The 17,731-nt window shown below is 46.8% G+C and overlaps 1 protein-coding gene across 3 annotated transcripts in view, besides 1 other annotated feature; it reads right to left on the bottom strand.

Moving 5' to 3' along the window:
• Positions 1-17,731, bottom strand: part of KCNK10 (potassium two pore domain channel subfamily K member 10) — a 146,805-nt gene that overhangs the window by 77,069 nt on the left and 52,005 nt on the right. For 2 of the 3 annotated variants that reach the window (NM_021161.5, NM_138317.3), the window contains exon 2: positions 6,026-6,375. In NM_021161.5, coding sequence (NP_066984.1) covers positions 6,026-6,375 — 350 coding nt within the window. Of the gene's footprint in view, positions 1-6,025; positions 6,376-13,561; positions 13,736-17,731 lie in introns of those variants that run through there. The other variant, NM_138318.3, reaches the window with a different exon arrangement.
• Positions 13,609-13,903: a silencer, noted in NCBI's record as "tiled region #1180; HepG2 Repressive non-DNase unmatched - State 10:DNaseD, and K562 Repressive non-DNase unmatched - State 24:Quies". NCBI's record gives its function as "represses a minimal TATA promoter and a strong SV40 promoter by Sharpr-MPRA in HepG2 and K562 cells {active_cell/tissue: HepG2 | K562}" and the evidence as "EXISTENCE:reporter gene assay evidence [ECO:0000049][PMID:27701403]".

Below are 17,731 nucleotides of genomic sequence, written 5' to 3' on the forward strand. Positions count from 1 at the left end.
TCTTCCTTCTTCCCGTTTCTCCTTCCTCCAACCCAACTTCCTCATTGCTAAAAGGTTTTTTCAGCAGCCAATTTCCATCTTCCAAGCCTCGCTTAAAGCTTTCAGTGACTCGACATTCCACAACATAAAGGTCCTCTAAGCACCTCCTCAGCCCAGCTCCCACGACCCCCTTCCCAGTCTCATTTCCACGTACTCTCATACTTCTCAGTTCAAGCCATTCTGATCACTTTCAATGCCTCAAATCTGGAACTGATTAGTATAACATTCTTGTCACCACAAACTTGTTAGCATTTTCCCATGGGCCACATGCCAGCCATTGGGATACCCTCCAACCATGGCCTACCCAATGAATCCCTCCCAGATATCGTGTTTCTGTTCCAGTGCATGGTGGTTCAGAGCCTGGGATATGTGGTCAGACTGCCTGGCAGTAAACCCTGGATCCTCCATTTCTAACCAGGTGAACTTAAGCCATCATTTCAGCTCCTGCTGCCTCATTTCCTCGCCTGTATGTGGGCACCAAAGATTATCCTCACAGAACAGCTGTGGGGACTGAAGGAGATAAATAACCACAAAATATTCTCTGAGCTCTATTTGCCTCACTAGGGCTCCATTTTTTGGACGTCTTTCAGATAGCTCTATTCCAAAAGATTGTAATTATTGGCTTACATGCCTCTTCCTCCAGTGCTTCTCAACCTATGAGCATGTTGAACTGGATAATTCTTTGTGGGAGGGGGGGTCTATGCTGTGCATTGTAGGATGTCTAGCAGCAACCCTGGCCTCTACCCACTAGATGTCTATAGCACCTCCCCAGCTGTAACAACCAAAAATGTCTCCGGACATTGCCAAATGCCCCCTAGAGGCAACCATCCCCTCCCCGGTGACCCCACCCCATCCCATTAAGAACCACTGCTTGAAAATCTGAGCTCCCTGAATAATATAAAGAACAGTAGCAGCAATAGAAGCAGCAATAATAATCCTTTTGTGAGCATTTACCGTGTGCCAAGCACAGTTCAAAGCCTTTCTCATGAATTACTGCATTTAATCCTCTCAGCACCCTGAGGCCACATTCTATTGATGAAGAAACAAGAGGTGAGTAACTTGCTTATGGTGAGTCTTTTTTTTTTTTTTTTTCGAGATGGAGTCTCATTCTCTTGCCCAGGCTGGAGTGCAATGGCACCATCTCAGCTCACTGTAACCTCCGCCTCCCAGGTTCAAGCAACTCTCCTGCCTCAGCCTCCTGAGTGGCTGGGATTACAGGCACCTGCCACCACGCCCAGCTAATTTTTGTATTTTTAGTAGAGACAGGGTTTCACCATGTTGGTCAGGCTGGTCTCAAACTCCTGACATCGTGATCCGCTTGACTCGGCCTCCCACAGTGGTGGGATTACAGGCGTGAGCCACCGAACCCGGCCGCGTCTTCTTCTTTCTCTCCCCAACACCTGGCATGTTACCTGATACATGCAGGAGTTCAGCAGCAATTCTGAGAACAAGTGGATGGATGGATAGATGAATGAATGACTAAATGAATGGATGAGAATGTCCCCTTCATAACAGCAACCCATCTTTCTTCACCTTTAGGGATAGTGGCCCATTACTCTCCTCTGGAGTCCCACAGTACCCCATGAAGTGGTCTTACTTGTTGGAAAATCCCTCCCCACGATGGCTGTAAGAGCTACGGCTCTTCTAGGCTATCCAGCCATTTTGAGGGTATCATGCTTCTCTGGATACTCTATTTTGGTTATTAATAATATGAAGCACACATTCCAGCTTGGCTTTATGAGGGGTTCACTCAATCCAGCCAAGAGACATGATGAAATAAATACTTTCCATCTACTTTCTACTCTCCAGTCACTCCTTTCAGACTTGGGTGAGATACAATAGTACTATCTTTCCAACTTAAAACACAGCACACTGAAAACCCTTCCAGATGTGAAAACAGACTATTTTTAAATACTGTGTTTCTTGTGATCGCTACATACAGTGCTGCTCAGAGGCATAAAGTGTGAGAAAGCTCCCTGGTCTGTAAGAGTGGACACTTTCATCCTTGTGAAGGTATCAGTGAACTGAAGGGCAAAATGTAATGATTTGGTGCAATGATTTGACACAGATTCAGCAGTTAAACCTGCTTAACTTATATTGTGAGAAAGACTGTAGATAAACACAAGGATGAATCTGTAAGTCATAGTAGATGGAGATCTAAAAGCATCCCAGGTCCAGGACTGATGCTCAATGTGCATAGGGAGAAGAAACAGAAATGCTTCCTGTTAGGCAGCCAGGAACTCTAATGATTTACTTACTGAGACAAGGTCTCACTCTGTTTCCCAGGCTGGAGTACTGTGGCACAATCATGGCTCACTGCAGCCTTGACTTCCCGGGCTCAGGTGATCCTCCCACCTCAGCCTCCCAAGTAGCTGGGACTTCAGGCGTGTGCCACCACACCCATCTAATTTTTGTAACTTTTTGTACAAAAGGGTTTTGCCATGTTGTCCAGACTGGTCTCGAACTGCTGGGCTCAAGCAATCCATCCGCCTTGGCCCCCCAAGCTGCTGGGATTACCAGCATGAACCACCACACCTGGCCATCTAATGCTTTTTGACTGCTAAAATTCTGGAAAGTGTCTGATATGGTTTGGATTTATGTCCCTGCCCAAATCTCATGTTGAATTGTAATCCCCAGTGTAGGAGAAGGGGTATGGTGGGGGCAGATTTCCCTCTTGCTGTTCTTGTGATAGTGAGTGAGTTCTCATGAAATCTGTTTGTTTGGCTTTTTGTTTTTGTTTTTGTTTTGAGAGAGTCATGCTCTGATGCCTAGGCTGGAGTGCAGTGGCATGATCTCGGCTCACTGCAACCTCTGCCTCCCAGGTTCAAGCAATTCTTCTGCCTCAGCCTCCCTAGTAGCTGGGACCACAGGTGCACACCACCACGCCTGGCTAATTTTTGTATTTTAGGTAGAGATGGGGTTTCACCATGTTGGCCAGGTTGGTCTCGAACTCCTGATCTCAGGTCATCCACCCACCTTGGCCTCCCAAAGTGCTGGGATTACAGGTGTAAGCCACCGCGCCAGGCCAAGATATGGTTGTTTAAAAGTGTGTAGCATCCCTCCCTTTGCTCTCTCTTCCTCCTGCTCCAGCCATATAGGACATGCCTGCCTCCCCTTCGTCTTCTGCCATGATTGTAAGTTTCCTGAAGCCTCCCAAGCCATGCTTCCTGCACAGCCTGCGGAACTGTGAATCAATTAAACCTCTTTTCTTTATAAATTGCTTAGTCTCAGATAGTTCTTTATAGTGAGAATGGACTAATACAGCATTCAACATAAAGCACAAGTTTAAAAGAGACTGGAGCTTATTATAAACCAAGATCTACTTAAAGGGCCTGTAGACTATTTGGATGAGAGAGTGTACAGTCAGTCCAACCTTGCGCTGACTACCAGCTCTACCACTTTGGTGGTTGGAAAGTTACTCACCTCTTTAAGGAAACTGATGTTTCCTCCCCTGTAAAATGGGAATCGTGATATGAACTTAGAGTGTTGTTGATAAGATTAAATGAGATAATGGGTATATGATGCCCAGCTCATAACAGATGCCTAATAAAGAGCAGCTTTTTAAATTGTTATAAAATTATCTTAAATGCACACACGTGTGTATGTGCAAACACATTCACACAAACGCACACATACACACACATATCTCATTTCACAGAGAAATCTTTGAGGTCAAAACAGGACACCAGTCTTAATGGCAGCATCAGAATAAGGACCTCCACGCTCTCTGACCCTGTCCTTCATTCAGGTCTCTGAGCTCTCTCATAAAGATGAGGGTTAAAGAATGGGCAATACGGAAATGCCGAATTAATCAACAAATGCATGGATAAGCTCAGATAGCTTGTGACATCACCAGTGTTCTACAATTTGCTTTGATATCTTGCTCTAAAAACATTTATCTAATGGGCAATAATTAGAGGCAAAGCAAAGCATAGGTCACATGTGGAGGAAAAGGTAACACAGTGCATTCCTTTTCTTCAAGATCTTACTGCCTAATGAAGGAAAATTCAAACACAATACTAGATTCACTTCAGAACGCCTATCAGGTTATTATGACGTGTCTTACAACTAATTAAAAAGGATCCTACCTCATATCACAACAATGTGTATAAATGTAATTATACTCCTACTTAAAACTACTCCAGAATTGTTTATTCCATTCTCTATAGCATGCTAGGCTTTAAATCTGGCACTGATTAGTACAAAAATCTCATCACCACAAATGTGGTAGCATTTTCCCATGAAAGAAGAAAAGGGATGGGCGTGGTGACTCACACCTGTAATCCCAGCACTTTAGGAGGCCAAGGCGGGTTGATTGCTTGAGCCTAGGAATTCAAGACCAGCCTGGGCAACATGGTGAAAACCTGTCTCTACAAAAAAATGCAAAAAGTAGCCAGGCATGGTGGCACATGCCTGTAGTCCCAGCTACTCAGGAGACTGAGGCAGAAGGATCAGCTGATACCTCGATCAGGAAGTTGAACCTGCAATGAGCCATGATCACACCACTGCACTCCAGCCTAAGTGACAGAATGAGACCCTGTCTCAAAAAAGAAAAAGAAAAAAAAAAAAGACAAAGCCATTTGGAGAACTGACTTCCTATGAAACACTTATATGAAATGCTGCCCTTGGATTTTTAACATTTTATTTTTTTGAGAAGAATTATAGGGCATAGCTATGAAATCATATTTACTCCCAGGAAGGGAAGAATTTGTATTTCTATTTATTTAAGAGTCAAGTCATTATTAAAACTAACTGACAAGAATATGATTGCTATGAAGGTGCCAGATCATAAGCAGCATCAGAATTCCCCTACTCTATTGGTATGGTAAGAAATAAATAAATAAGAAAACAGCGCAGACTGGTAAATCCTACACTATCTTGGATTGTTGCAGCCATTAGAATTTAATGTGCATCTTCCAGAGCCAGAAGGAATTGTAAAAGCTGTCTTTTCCATCCCTCCACCTTCCAAACTTTAGAGCCCCCAGAAAGATGAGACTCTCCCTCACCTCCATAAATGTCACCGCCTTCCACCAAAACCCACTCTTTGTAGTTCAGGAGGGTGTCTGGGATAGAAAGTGGAACTTCAGCCTCAGAGGCAGCCTTCCTCCTTCACGTCCAAGGTGAAGCCCTCCAACAGGGCTCTCCACCATTTCCCTTTCTTCCTCGTGGGAACTGCTTTTCTCTCTGGCTTCTCAGACTTCACAACCCTCCTGATCCAGTCCCTCGCACCGCAGCCCCACAGATGACTCTCTGGCTTTCCTATAGCTCCTTACCGCCACAGTCCACCCCTGCCAAGTCCACATCTGTCGCCCAGAAGTGTTGCCTTGCTTCTTTAGGCTGCAGTTCAAGTTCTCTGCTTCCATTTTCCTAAGAATCTTTTTTCCTTAATATCCAGGGTATGTAAAGGCCTTAGTACAGTGCCTGATACACAGTAAGTATTCAAAAACAGCAAACCTGATGATTACTACTACTGTGATCCATATTATTTCATCCCCATAAATCCACTATAACAGCTGTCTCAGGCCACTGACAGCCTCTTCACCCACATACCTGGTGGCCTCTTCTCTACCTCATCCTCATGGACCTTGGACAGGTTAATATATCCCTGCTTATTCTAAATCTGCATATTTAAAATTCTTTCCTTCTTCGGGTTCTATCCCAGCATTCCACAGAGTTCAGAATCAAGGAGTTAATCAGCACACATAGGTGGACTTGAACTTGAAAATCCAAAGTCCATTGGCCTGCTGCCGCCTCTGACCACTCATCCAAAACCAGATGCAGAACATGGACCCTCCTTCCCCCACACTGTCACATGCCTCACTATCGCTTCTTGGAGGTCTCAGCTCACATGTCACCTCCCTGGAGAGAACTTCCCTGACCACCAAGAGCCTCTCAACTGAAGGCAAGACTAGAGACCCAGAAAGATAAAACCAACACTGCCATCCACCCCACCAGCTGGCCTAAGATGGACTCACTCCCTGCTCACCTGGATCAACGTCTCCAGCTCCTGGGGGCTCACACAGACATGATCCCGCAGGAATTCCGCCTTCTCCAAGGCGATGGTATTCTTCTGGCTGCTCTCAAAGGGCTGCTCCAATGCCCGGAAGACAAGACCGCCAGTGACAAGGTAGACCACCACAACCACAAAGATGGCAACCACCGTCTTCCACTTCATGACGGTCTGCAAGCCCCCTTGGGAGGTGCCTTCCATCCTGGCTACCACTGTGGCTCGGGAGGAAATGGACAGGCGCGGAGTTGGAGTCGGAGCCGGAGCCGGGGGTTGCCCGTTAGTGGCGCTCTTGGGCTGGCACACCGGTGCTGCTGCGGGAACGGCCACTGAGGAGTCAGGGTGGGGGACAAAGAAGAAGAGAGTTTGTTTATAAATAAATACAAAACGTGTCAGAAACAAAGCACAGATGTCTTCTTTGAGCCAGCTTTCAAATGTGAGGATGAAACGCTGGTTCACCAAGCCTGCAGTTAGGGAATTTGATCAGTTGCTAGGTACCCATTTGAGTTCTAAAAAATAAGCACCAGGGGTCCCAGTTTAAAAAAAAAAAAAGTATAAACTGAGTTTGAAATACTTACATTTTTCTACGAGGGTCCAAATTGAAAGCTATCTCTCTGCCATTTATAATTCACCTCCTCCCTTAGCTTCCTTGTTGAAACAATGTGTAAGGAATACAACAAATCATCAGATTTAAAAACAAACATGTTGTTGAACTTGGAGAGGAAGTAAATAGGAGAGGGATAACCAACTACTCTATCCAAGCACCAAGGGCTGGTGATACCAACAGCAGAGAAGAGATGAATGTCTAGAGACTTAAAAAGTCCTCTTGTCACAAAACAAAGGAAAAAAGGATGAGCTTGTTATATCTTAATAGAAGATGTGACTTAGGCATAACCACTCCTGATCTACTAGTAATAGAATTTTTCTTCTATTGTTTTCCAATAAGACGTCATTGGAAAAAAACTGTTTCCTGGTTTTCGAAGCACATAGAATTCTCTAAGGTCCCTGTTCTCTGTAGGGCAATTTCATTACTTTGGAAATAAATAGGTTCAGCTGGAGGCTTTTCTGCGATGGCAGGAAGTTTGGGGTTATGACGCACACGCAATGCTATCATGCATCACAGAAATGTCTTGTGCAACAACGAACAGCCACTGCACTTCAGTTTTGTTCTCCCTTTATTATTCCAACTCTTATTATAGTCTCTGTCATGGTGCAGGCTGGCTGTTGTGTGAAGAAGGTATTAGTAGATGATAAACCTAATTACCTAAGTGGGGTAAACAGTCCCACTCCAGCAGGGAGTTAAACTGCTCAATCACTGTTGGAAAAGTCAAAGAGCAGGCTATGTCACTGCCTGTTCAAAACACCTGGCTGTAGAGGTGATGGCTTAGAAGAATCTAAGTTTGTAAACATCTGCCTCTCCTCCTAGGCCCTCGGAATCAGTTTCTGTCTTTGGAAACCGAGCTGAACGTCAGTCTTTTATGGCATATTATCCAATCCAATAAAATCACTCCATGTTAAATTTCCCTCAGATTTACACAAACGCAAAATTGCCTGGAATCTTGATTGAAAGATCTATATGTTAGAATCAGCAACCTGGGCATTATGTTCTTGCTAACCTTTCCCTAAAGACGCTGCATTCACTTTCCCCCTTGCTCCTGTTGATGCCGAGAAGGTGAGCCTTGCCTAAGGTGGCTTTCTTTTACCACTGCCCACATCTCCCATTCATTCTGCCTCATCACTGTATTTCATCCCTTGGGCCTTTCCCTACCCCTGTGGCCAGCAGCCTCATCCAGGCCACTGTCACATCTTGCCTGGACCAGCCCAGCAGCCTCCCAAGGGGCCTCCCTGCTTCCATGTGTATCCTGCTTCTGAGCCAGAAATCTCATATTAAATATCACTTCTGGGAGCACCTTCTCCCCTCCTGCCTTGGGGGCAGGTAGAATAATGGCCCACAAAGAGGTCCACATCCTAATCCCCAAGACATATATGAATGTTATCTTACATGGCAAAAGGGACTTTGCAGATGTGATTAAGAATGTTGAGATGGGGGATGATCTTGGATTATATGGTTGGGCTCAATATAATGACAAGAGTTCTTATAAGAAGGAAGCAGGAGGGCCAGAGAGAGAAGGGATGTGAGGACAGATACACAGGTTGGAGTGATGCAGCCATGAGCCCAGGAATGTGGTCCCTCTAGAAGCTGGAAAAGGCAAGGGAAGGATCCTCCCCTAGAGCCTCCCGAAGGAACCTGTACTGCTTACTCTTTGATTTTGGCCAAGTGAGGCTGATTTTGAACTTCTGACTTCCAGAACCATACAATAATAAATTAGTGCTGCTTTAAGCCACTACATGTGTGGCAATTTGCTACGGAAGCCCCAGGAAATGAATCTGCCCTCCATTAGTTCAGGTTTCCTGATATGGTTTGGCTGTGTCCCCACCCAAATCTCACCTTAAATTGTATTCCCATAATCCTTACATCTTGGGGGAGTGACCCCGTGGGAGGTAATTGAAGCATGGGGGCAGGTTTTTCCCCGTGCTGTTCTCGTGATAGTGAATAAGTCTCACAAGATCTGATGGTTTTATAAAGGTGGGTTCCCTTGCACATGCTCTCTTGCCTGCTGCCATGTAAGATGTGACTTTGCTCCTCATTTACCCTCCACCATGATTGTGAGGCCTCCCTAGCCATATGGAACTGTGAGTCCATTAAACTTCTTTCCTTTATAACTTACCCAGTCTTGGGTATGTCTTTATTAGCAGCAGGAAAACAGACTAATACATCTCCCTTGCCCAGCACTCACTGTGCTGTGCTGCTGATACAGCCTGTGCCCTTGTCCAGCACTCCCATTAGATTGAAAGCTCCATGAGGGCAGGCACCCTGTCTACCCCTCACCTCTGCACCCCTAGTGTTCTGCACAGTACCTGGCACATGGTGGGTAGACAATCAATGATGGTGGAATAAGTGAATAAAGGGTGGAAGGAATGCTGGCACATCCAAACCACACAGACAACGTGGATGAGCAGCGTCAAATGGCAAACAGTTTGGCACTCCAGCAATACTGAAAGCAGGTCCTCAAACACAGCAGTGCTCTGTTCACACCTTCACACCTTTGCAGGTGTTGTCCTCTCAGCCAGTAACCCCTTCCCCACCCTCATCTGCCTGGAAAACTCCCATCCTCTTTAGTCTCAGCCAAAAGCTACCTCCTCTATGAAGTCGTCCTGGGCTCTTCCAGGCAGGCCCAGCGTGCTGATCTTCCCCACTAGCCTATCAACTTCTTGGAGTCAGAAAGTTCATCTTTTAATCATTGGATCTCAATTTCTTGGCATAGTGCCTGGCATAGAGCAAATGTTGTTTTCCAGTGGTGGTGGTGGTGGTGGTGATAATTCCTTCACACAAAAGCCCCATCGGAATCACCAGCACTCTCAAAAACAAACATTTATTTAATGCTGAATGGGCACAAAGGGGTGTGGTATGGTGGGGATAAGGCACAGTCCCTCCCAGCCTCAGGGGCTTGCCAGTCAGCTTAAGGAACATGTTCCACAGCACCAGGTAACCAACATTAGCTTAAAGCCTCATCAGCTGACATGCAATAAATAGCATGAGCATGGAGGTGAGTGGAGGCTGGACTCCGTCACTGACCTGCATCATGGATGCTTCCCAAGCTTCTAGCATCCCTGAGGCTGGGCAGAATTGGGCTTGAGAAACGTCTCTTCAGGCCAGGTCCTGGTGCCAGTTTGCGAAGAGACTGTCCATTAGGGCAGAGTTTGAACAGAATCCACCCATGCCTGAGCTTCCAAAGCACCAGAGCAAAAACCAGAGTTTCAGTCCCAAATCCATCAGTGACAGCATGACCTCGAAACTGTCACTTAGTTTCTCTGTTTGCTTACTGTGAAATGTGAATAATAGCAGCCATCTTTTTTTCTAAACGTCCACAGGGTTCTCAGGAACAGCAAATGAGCAGCCCTGGTCTACTGGCTGGAGTATATTTGTAGTTGTCAGGAGTACCGGCACAGATCTCAGAATGTTACAAAACCTTTTGTGCATTTCACTAAAAAGGGACTTGGTTGTTTTGGCAAAGAAGACTGCACATCTCAATGGCTAGAAAAGGATCTGGATTGTGCTTAAGATGGATAAATTCTTTTCTTTTTCTTTTTCTTTTTTTTTTTTTGAGACGGAGTCTTGCTCTCTCGCCCAGGCTGGAGTGCAGTGGCACAATCTCGGCTCACTGCAACCTCCACCTCCCGGGTTCAAGCTACTCTCCTGCCTCAGCCTCCCAAGTAGCTGGGACTACAGGCGTGCACCACCATGCCCGGCTGATTTTTTGTATTTTTAGTAGAGACGGGGTTTCACCATGCTGGCCAGGCTGATCTTGAGCTCCTGACCTCAGGTGATCTGCCCGCCTCAGCCTCCCAAAGTGCTGGGATTACAGACGTAAGCCACCGCATCCAGCCAAGTTGGATAAATTTTTAAATGGCATTTTCATTAATCCATTTATTCTCCTTAGAAGCCACAGTTGTTCTCACCCTAATACAGTTGCCTTATGACCTGGAATCAACCACTGGAGTTCTCATGCCTGGAACCAACAAAGAAGCAAACTTGGCCAGATGGTGATGAGGATGGTGGTGCTGATGGTGGTGAAGGTGACAGGAGCCCTGATGGCCTACTGGGCACTTACTCATGCTGTCACTCTGACAAACACTCTGCTTACATCACTACATTCGGTCCTCACTACAAGGAATTATCACACTGCATGAGTCCAGGTAGGACCCCCAGAAGCAGATGCCAAGAAGGGATTAAATGTGCATGGATTTTATTAGGGGGAACGCATGTGTGAGAGAAAATGATAGGGAGTTGGGGAGGCTAGAACAGCCACTAGACTCTATGTAAGTCTGACCCCTGGAAAAGGAAGGAAAGAAGGAAGGAGGAGGTAAGCATCTTCCAGCCTAAGGAAGTTTAGCAAGCCCATCAAGGAGTTCTTGAGCTGAAGTTAGCTGTCTGAGGAGTCCTGTGTCTCCCAGAAACAATCCTGCCGTGGTATCCTTGCTGCGCACAGACACTGGCTGGGAGCAGCCCGGGAGCAACGTACCCGCAGTGCAAGCCCAGCTGTGGAGATCAGGGCAGCAGCCAGGGCCCTGATCACCAACACCCACTCCAGTTAGAGGCCTGTAGGCGCATGCTCATGCCCAACACAGCCCCACTTCACAGACAAAGAAACTGAGACCCAGACAGGTTCAATGGCTAAGTCAAGGTTAAGCGGCCCAAAAGAGAGAAGCCAGATTAAAAAGGGAATCATCTGACTTCAAAGTCAGTTCTGCAGAGTGTAGGAACAGGAAAAGAGGAAACATAGCAATTCCAGGGGGAAAGGGCCCTTTTATCCCAAAAAATAGGAACGACATTTGTTTCAAATAGGCATTAAAAATATTTTCCAGTCTATGAGATTGACTACTTCAGTTTCCAAACAGCAGTGGAGTTCTTCCCTACAAAACGTATCAATAATGAATGGATCTATAAAGTAATGGCCTATCACACTTCACAGCTCCAACAGAAGAGTACTGGGCAGCAAAAGTGCTGCCAAGAATTGATGAGAAAGGAAATGTTGAAAGGTAATATCCTTTCTGCTAGTTTTCATTTTAAAATGTTTCCTCAAGAATATCTGCATGGCTGGGCGCAGTGGCTCACACCTGTAATCCCAGCACTTTGGGAGGCTGGGAGTTCGAGACCAACCTGGCCAACATGGTGAAGCCCCAGCTCTACTAAAAATACAAAAATTAGCCGGGTATGGTGGCATGCACCTGTAGTCCCAGCTACTCGGGAGGCTGAGGCAGAAGAATCACTTGAACCAGGTAGGTGGAGGTTGCAGTGAGCCGAGATCGTGCCATTGCACTCCAGCCTGGGTGACAAGAGATAAATTCTGTCTCAAAAAAAAGAATACGGCACATATTTCATTTTCACCTAAATGTGGGTGATATGGAGGGGTACATGTGGAAATCTGCTTTTTCATGGTTGAACAAGCTCTTAATAAGTTGACATTATTCAGGCTTTCTCAAGCCCCACAGATATTACTGCACCATCCATTCATTCGTTCAATCAACAAACAACTGAGTTTGCCTGGCACTGCATTTGGCACTGGAGCTACATAAATTAATAAGACGCATCCCGCCTTCAGAGTTAATGGAAGAATTAACAAAGATCTTACACGTGCATGAAGCTGTTTTTGTTTTGCTTTGTTTTGGTTGAGACAGGATCTTGCTCTGTCACTCAGGCTGAAGTGCAGTGGCACAATTATAGCTCACTGTAACCTCGAATTCCTGGCTTGAGCTATCCTCCCACCCCAGCCTCCCCAGTAGCTAGGACCACAGATATATGCCACCATGCCCAACTAATTTTTTAATATTTTGTAGCGATGGGGTCTCACTACATTGTCCAGGCTGGTCTCAAACTCCTGTCCTCAAGCGACCTGCCAGCATCGACCTCCTAAAGTGCTGGGATTACAAGTATGAGCCACTGCACCCAGCCAGTGAACCTGTTTTTATCTTCGCCAAACCTTCTGTGTAAGGTGATGATTATTATCTGCCCCCATTGATAGATGAGGAAACTACGGGCCAGAGAGGGGACACTGAGCAACCTATGACAAGCTAACAAGCAGGGGCATCCTTGAATCCATCTTCAGACACTTAACCCGAGTGCCTCCATTCCTCCATGTCACCTGAAACAAATGGCATTCCAAGGGTTCAGAGTCTCTTGGAAACCTGAAATGCAGCTGCCTCAGTGCCACGGTCACACAGCAGCGTGACTCTGCTACTGACCCAGGCAAAGTGCAACTGTGACTGCAGACTCCCGGGCAAGAGGGAAAGGACAGCCTCCTCTCACCTCCCCCCTCCCCGCAGCCGACCTCCCACCCCTACTCTAGGTCTGGAATCATTCCGGGGCCACCTGCACTGATGGCTCAGAGCTTCCAAAGAGTCCCAGGTTACAGCTCAGCCTGCATAGGCATAGGCAGACTTCAGGCCGCTGGGGAGGGAGGGTGTTAGGAAGAGGGCAGGAAAGATGAGGAGCGCAGGATTCCACCTCGGGTGCTCCACCCACACCGGCCTCCAGTTGTCCCAGCAGCTCTTAGAGCAGTATCTGTGCTGCCTCTGGTTCCAGATACCCAAACAACCAAATCATGTTTTCCCTGTTTCCATGGGACAGCCCTACCTTAAAGGCAATCAAGCTGATCCCAGTAAGAATGGCAGTAACACTAAGTCTGTATGCACTAAGAGAGCAAGCCATGGTCCCAAAACGCCACCCGAGGCTCTCCCTTTGGGTGAAGCATTGCTCCCTGCTGTCTTCAAAATTTCAGGCTGCACTTCCAGATGGAAGAGATCAAGCTATGATGAAATGACTGAGACCCTATGGAGCCATGAGAAGAGGAAAACAAGGCAGACTGGGGGGAAGAGGGAGCTAGAACTGCCTGCCACCTCATCTCACATCTGTGCTTTCCTGTCCCCTTAGTCCAGAACCCCATCTTCTCTCACCTGAATCACTGCGACAGCCTTCAGTCCTGTCCCCCTTAAATCCATCCTCCATATACCAGCCATGTACATGGTGTGTCACTCTCTCAGGTGTCAGTGTGATCACATGGACCCTTGCTAACAATGCTCTGAAGGCGCCACCAACATTCAGAGTAAAGTGCAGGCTCCATGCCTTGCTCCCTGACTCTCCCTTCCAGGACCTGGCGCCTGCCTATCTCACAGGCCTCACCCACTGCCACGCCCCCACAAGCAACCTTTGCCCCAGCCAAACCCAGCAGCACCCAGACCCGCTCACACCTGTCCCAGAGAAACAGGTCTCGCTTCCCAGATTCTTCTCACCTCTTGACTCTTTTTTTGGTCAATTCCTTCTCAAACATCAAAACCCACCTTACGTGTCCCCACCTCCAAGCTGACTGCTCATCCCCCAACATTATATTATAAGATGCCCTTCCTTTGTGTCTCAATATGAAGTTTAGCAGAGAACCTACAACTAGGAGACCCCTGGTTACAGTTTGTTTCATTCCTGAATTTGTTCATTCATCCATTCTCCCATTTGCTTTGGGCCAGCATTTATGGTATCAAGTTCACACACCTGCCCAACAGAAACTTTGACTGCAGAGTTAATCCTGCATATGGAAGCACCCCTGGCACTATTGTGGTTTTTTCCCATAGGCAGAAATCCAGAGTCAAGGTGTTAACATTCTCAAAAAGCAAACAGTCCAAAGAGAGTTCTTCATGGTTTGTACAAGCGCTAGAGTGGACAGACAAGAGACAGGGCAGTATTTTACTTCACTGGGCTCCAAACACTCAGTTCGGGCCTTTCTTGTTCCTTCATGAAGAGCTACAAGCCTCTCTTTTACTCAGGGGTACAAAATACTTGTGAGATTTTAAAAATTCTATTGAATGGCATGAGTCACACTTGGTGAGTCCCCTCTCTGGTGGAAGACAGGCAGAATTTACCCTGAGTCTGCCTTCCTGGGGTCCCTCTGACTGGGGCCAAACTGCATAAACTGTGATTTGAGGACCCAAAAGACTAAAGGGCTTTTCTTTCACCCCACAAGCTGGGGAGAGAACAAGGGGTTCACATGAGACTTAAAGGAGCAGTGACTTCCTTCTCGGGACTTGTAAGCTCGACAGTTTCCCCTGATTTTTCCCCAAATCTCTTCTTGTATTTATAAACCAAAGGTATGGCAAAAAAAAAAAAAAAGTCAGAAGCCTCTCCACTAGCAGACAGGCCCCAGAGAACAAGGTTATCAGGGTTAGAGGAAGCAGGGGGAAGGTTGGACTTCAACAGCCACCCAGCTTACCCCTACCATAGGTCTGTCTTCCACGATGGCCCCACCCTCCACAGGAAACACTGGGCAGGGCTCCTAAAAGACAGTCCCTTCTCCAAGCCTCCTTCCTCCTCCCTGGAAAGGGACAGAAGCAGTAGCACTATTGGGAAGATTTAACATAAAATGTACGGCATGTTGCTCAATGCCTTGTTCAAAGCAAGTCCTCAATCAACGTGAGCTGTCCACATTATTAGGAGGTGAAGAAAACTACGTGTTCTATGCAAGCAAATGCAACAAAGCGTGCAGATGCTGTGTTTGACAGAGGTGTGGGGGACAGAAAGACATGAAGAGAGAGTGTCAGTGCCACCGAAGAGGAGACGAGAATGCAAAGACAAGGTGCCCACTGGTGTGGAAAGGGCATTAGGTGTCTGCGAGAGGGCAGAAGGAGGTGGAGAGGAAGGCGGAACAGCAATGGGGGGGCAACAGATACAAAGACACTCAGCCATGAATCAGCCTGGGGCATTTGGGAAATTACCTCAGGTCTGCGTGTCAGGACTAGAGGGTGTGAAGATGGCTACACCAAAATAAAGCTGCAAAGACAAGCAGAGGAGAGAGTGTGGCTCTTGTTGGTCTTATTAATGAGCGTGGGAAGCCATCAAGGCTAACACAGGGAGAAGAGCCAGGGGGTCAGACCTGGGTTTAGCAAGCTGACTCTGGCAGCAGTGCGTAAGAGACATGCAGCAAGTGAGAGATCGTCTGTGGGGGGTGTGGGTAGGAGTTTACTGGAATGTATTATGAGGCCTCAACTCAGGCAGCAGCAGAGGAGGAGTCAGAGACAAGGCGTGTTAAGGAAGTAAAATGTGCGGGTCCTAGTGATGGATGCAAAGGAAGAAAGGAGGCGTCTGGGATGACTCTTATAAGCTTATAACAGTATCATGCTCTGCAAGACAGAAAATGCAGGAGAGTTAGGTGTGCAGCTCCTGTAGCCCATCCAGGTGGAGCTATCCAGTTAACATGAGGCATAAGGGACCAGAACTCAGGGGAATAATCTAGCTGAATCCCTAGATTTAAGAGTGATGAGTATGTAAGTGGTACTGAAGCCACAGGACTGGATGAAGTGGTCCAGAGGGAGATGTAAAATGAGAAGAGAGTAAAAGATGATGCTCAAGGGAGCAACATTTAAGGGACAGCAAAGGGAGGGGGATGCATGACAGAGAAAGAAAAAACTAGAGAGGAAAAGGGGAGAACTGGGCTGGGCGTCAGCATCAGAGATGGTAGATCTTATCCCAGTCTCTGTCTCCAGCACCATTCACAAGGCCTGACCCACAGGAAGTCTCAGTGTGTGCCTGATGACTTCAGTACTATACCATAGCAGCATTTTGCTGTTTTTACCACTTTCTATCTCGGGCTGCCAGGAAACCCTGTTCAACAGCACTCCTGTTCCAGAACTTCTGAGCATTTTTGGTTGCTCCTGGTAGCAGGTGGGATGCCTTTATTGTTCCGATAAAATAAACTCTCACCCTCCGACCCAGGGCACAAATTGCCCAGGACCAGAGCTATTCCTTGTGTGTGCTGAGCTGGTCAGAGCAGCCCAGGCATATCCGACTGGACCACCATCTTTTGGGATTTAGAGCTGCCTACCTCGTGATTCTCCCAATAGACTCTGACTCCGCCATGTTGACGAGATGGACTTCTTTATCCTGCCTCCATGATCAAGGCCCTAAAGGTGCACACAGCCACAGCTGGGGTTCCTTGTGTCTTTTTCCAAAATGCTTCCTGAATATCATATTCTGTCTCTTGCCCTAAGTTTTTTCCTCCACAATTTAAATTAACTAGCGCACTTTATACAGGAAAGACCTTTATCCTCCTCTTGGGATTAAAAGTAATACAAGCAGTCATAGTTCTCAAAATATCCCCTTTCCCTGGGGCCAAGGGTTTTAAATCTTATTGTCAACGCCATTCCTTCCAGATGTCTTTCCCAGGTGTCTTGTCAAAAGCAGTTATCTCTCCTCACTGGCTCCCGGAGGGGTCTCCCCCCACCCCCCACCCTGCCCTAGGCTCCACTCAGCAGCCAGGTGAGCCTTCTGAAATTCCCAGCTTGCACCTATTAAAACTCCACAAGCACCGCCATGGTTCTTTCCCTGGCCTCCAATGTCCCGTGTGCTCAGGGCTCATCTCACTTCTCCAGCCCTCCCCTCTTCTTCCACACACACTTCTCCCTTCCCAGCAAACTCCTTCAGTATCTGCAATCACAAGCAAATAGACCATAAGTAGTTATACTGTGGATCTACAGATCCACAGTAGAAAGCAAAACTGAAAAATATTTTTTGGCCTATTAGAAAGATCCTTTCCAAACCAGCCTGGCCAACATGCCAAAACCCTGTCTCTACTAAAAATACAAAAATTAGCCAGGCATGGTGGCGCACGCTGTAATTCCAGCTACTCAGGAGGCTGAGGCAGGAGAATTGGGAGGAGGAGGTTGCAGTGAGTCGACATTGCACCACTGCACTTTAGCCTGGGTGACAGAGTGAGACTCTATCTAAAAAAAAAAAAAAAAAGATCTTATGGCTTAAGTCCGTAACATGTCCTATTGCATAATTCCCTAGCTTTAAGAAATCTGTTCGCTGTGTCCCACCCAATAATGGTGATAACAAATAGCTAGAGGTACTTCGATTAATTCCATATTTATCAGACCATAAAATACATGGAAGTGACAATGGTTCAGAATGATGAAAAGGTGGGGCATCTACAAACTTGATGTGTCATTCATTTGTTTATTCAACCAATGCATGCCCCCTGTGTGCCAGGAGTAGTACCAATCTCCACACCCCACATCCAGGCTGCCAAGCCACCCACCACCGGGTCTGAAGGGACCAATTCTGAGAAGTGTGAGGCCAGT

This window comes from Homo sapiens, chromosome 14 (assembly GCF_000001405.40).
Source record: "Homo sapiens chromosome 14, GRCh38.p14 Primary Assembly".
NCBI classification, from domain to species: domain Eukaryota; kingdom Metazoa; phylum Chordata; class Mammalia; order Primates; family Hominidae; genus Homo; species Homo sapiens.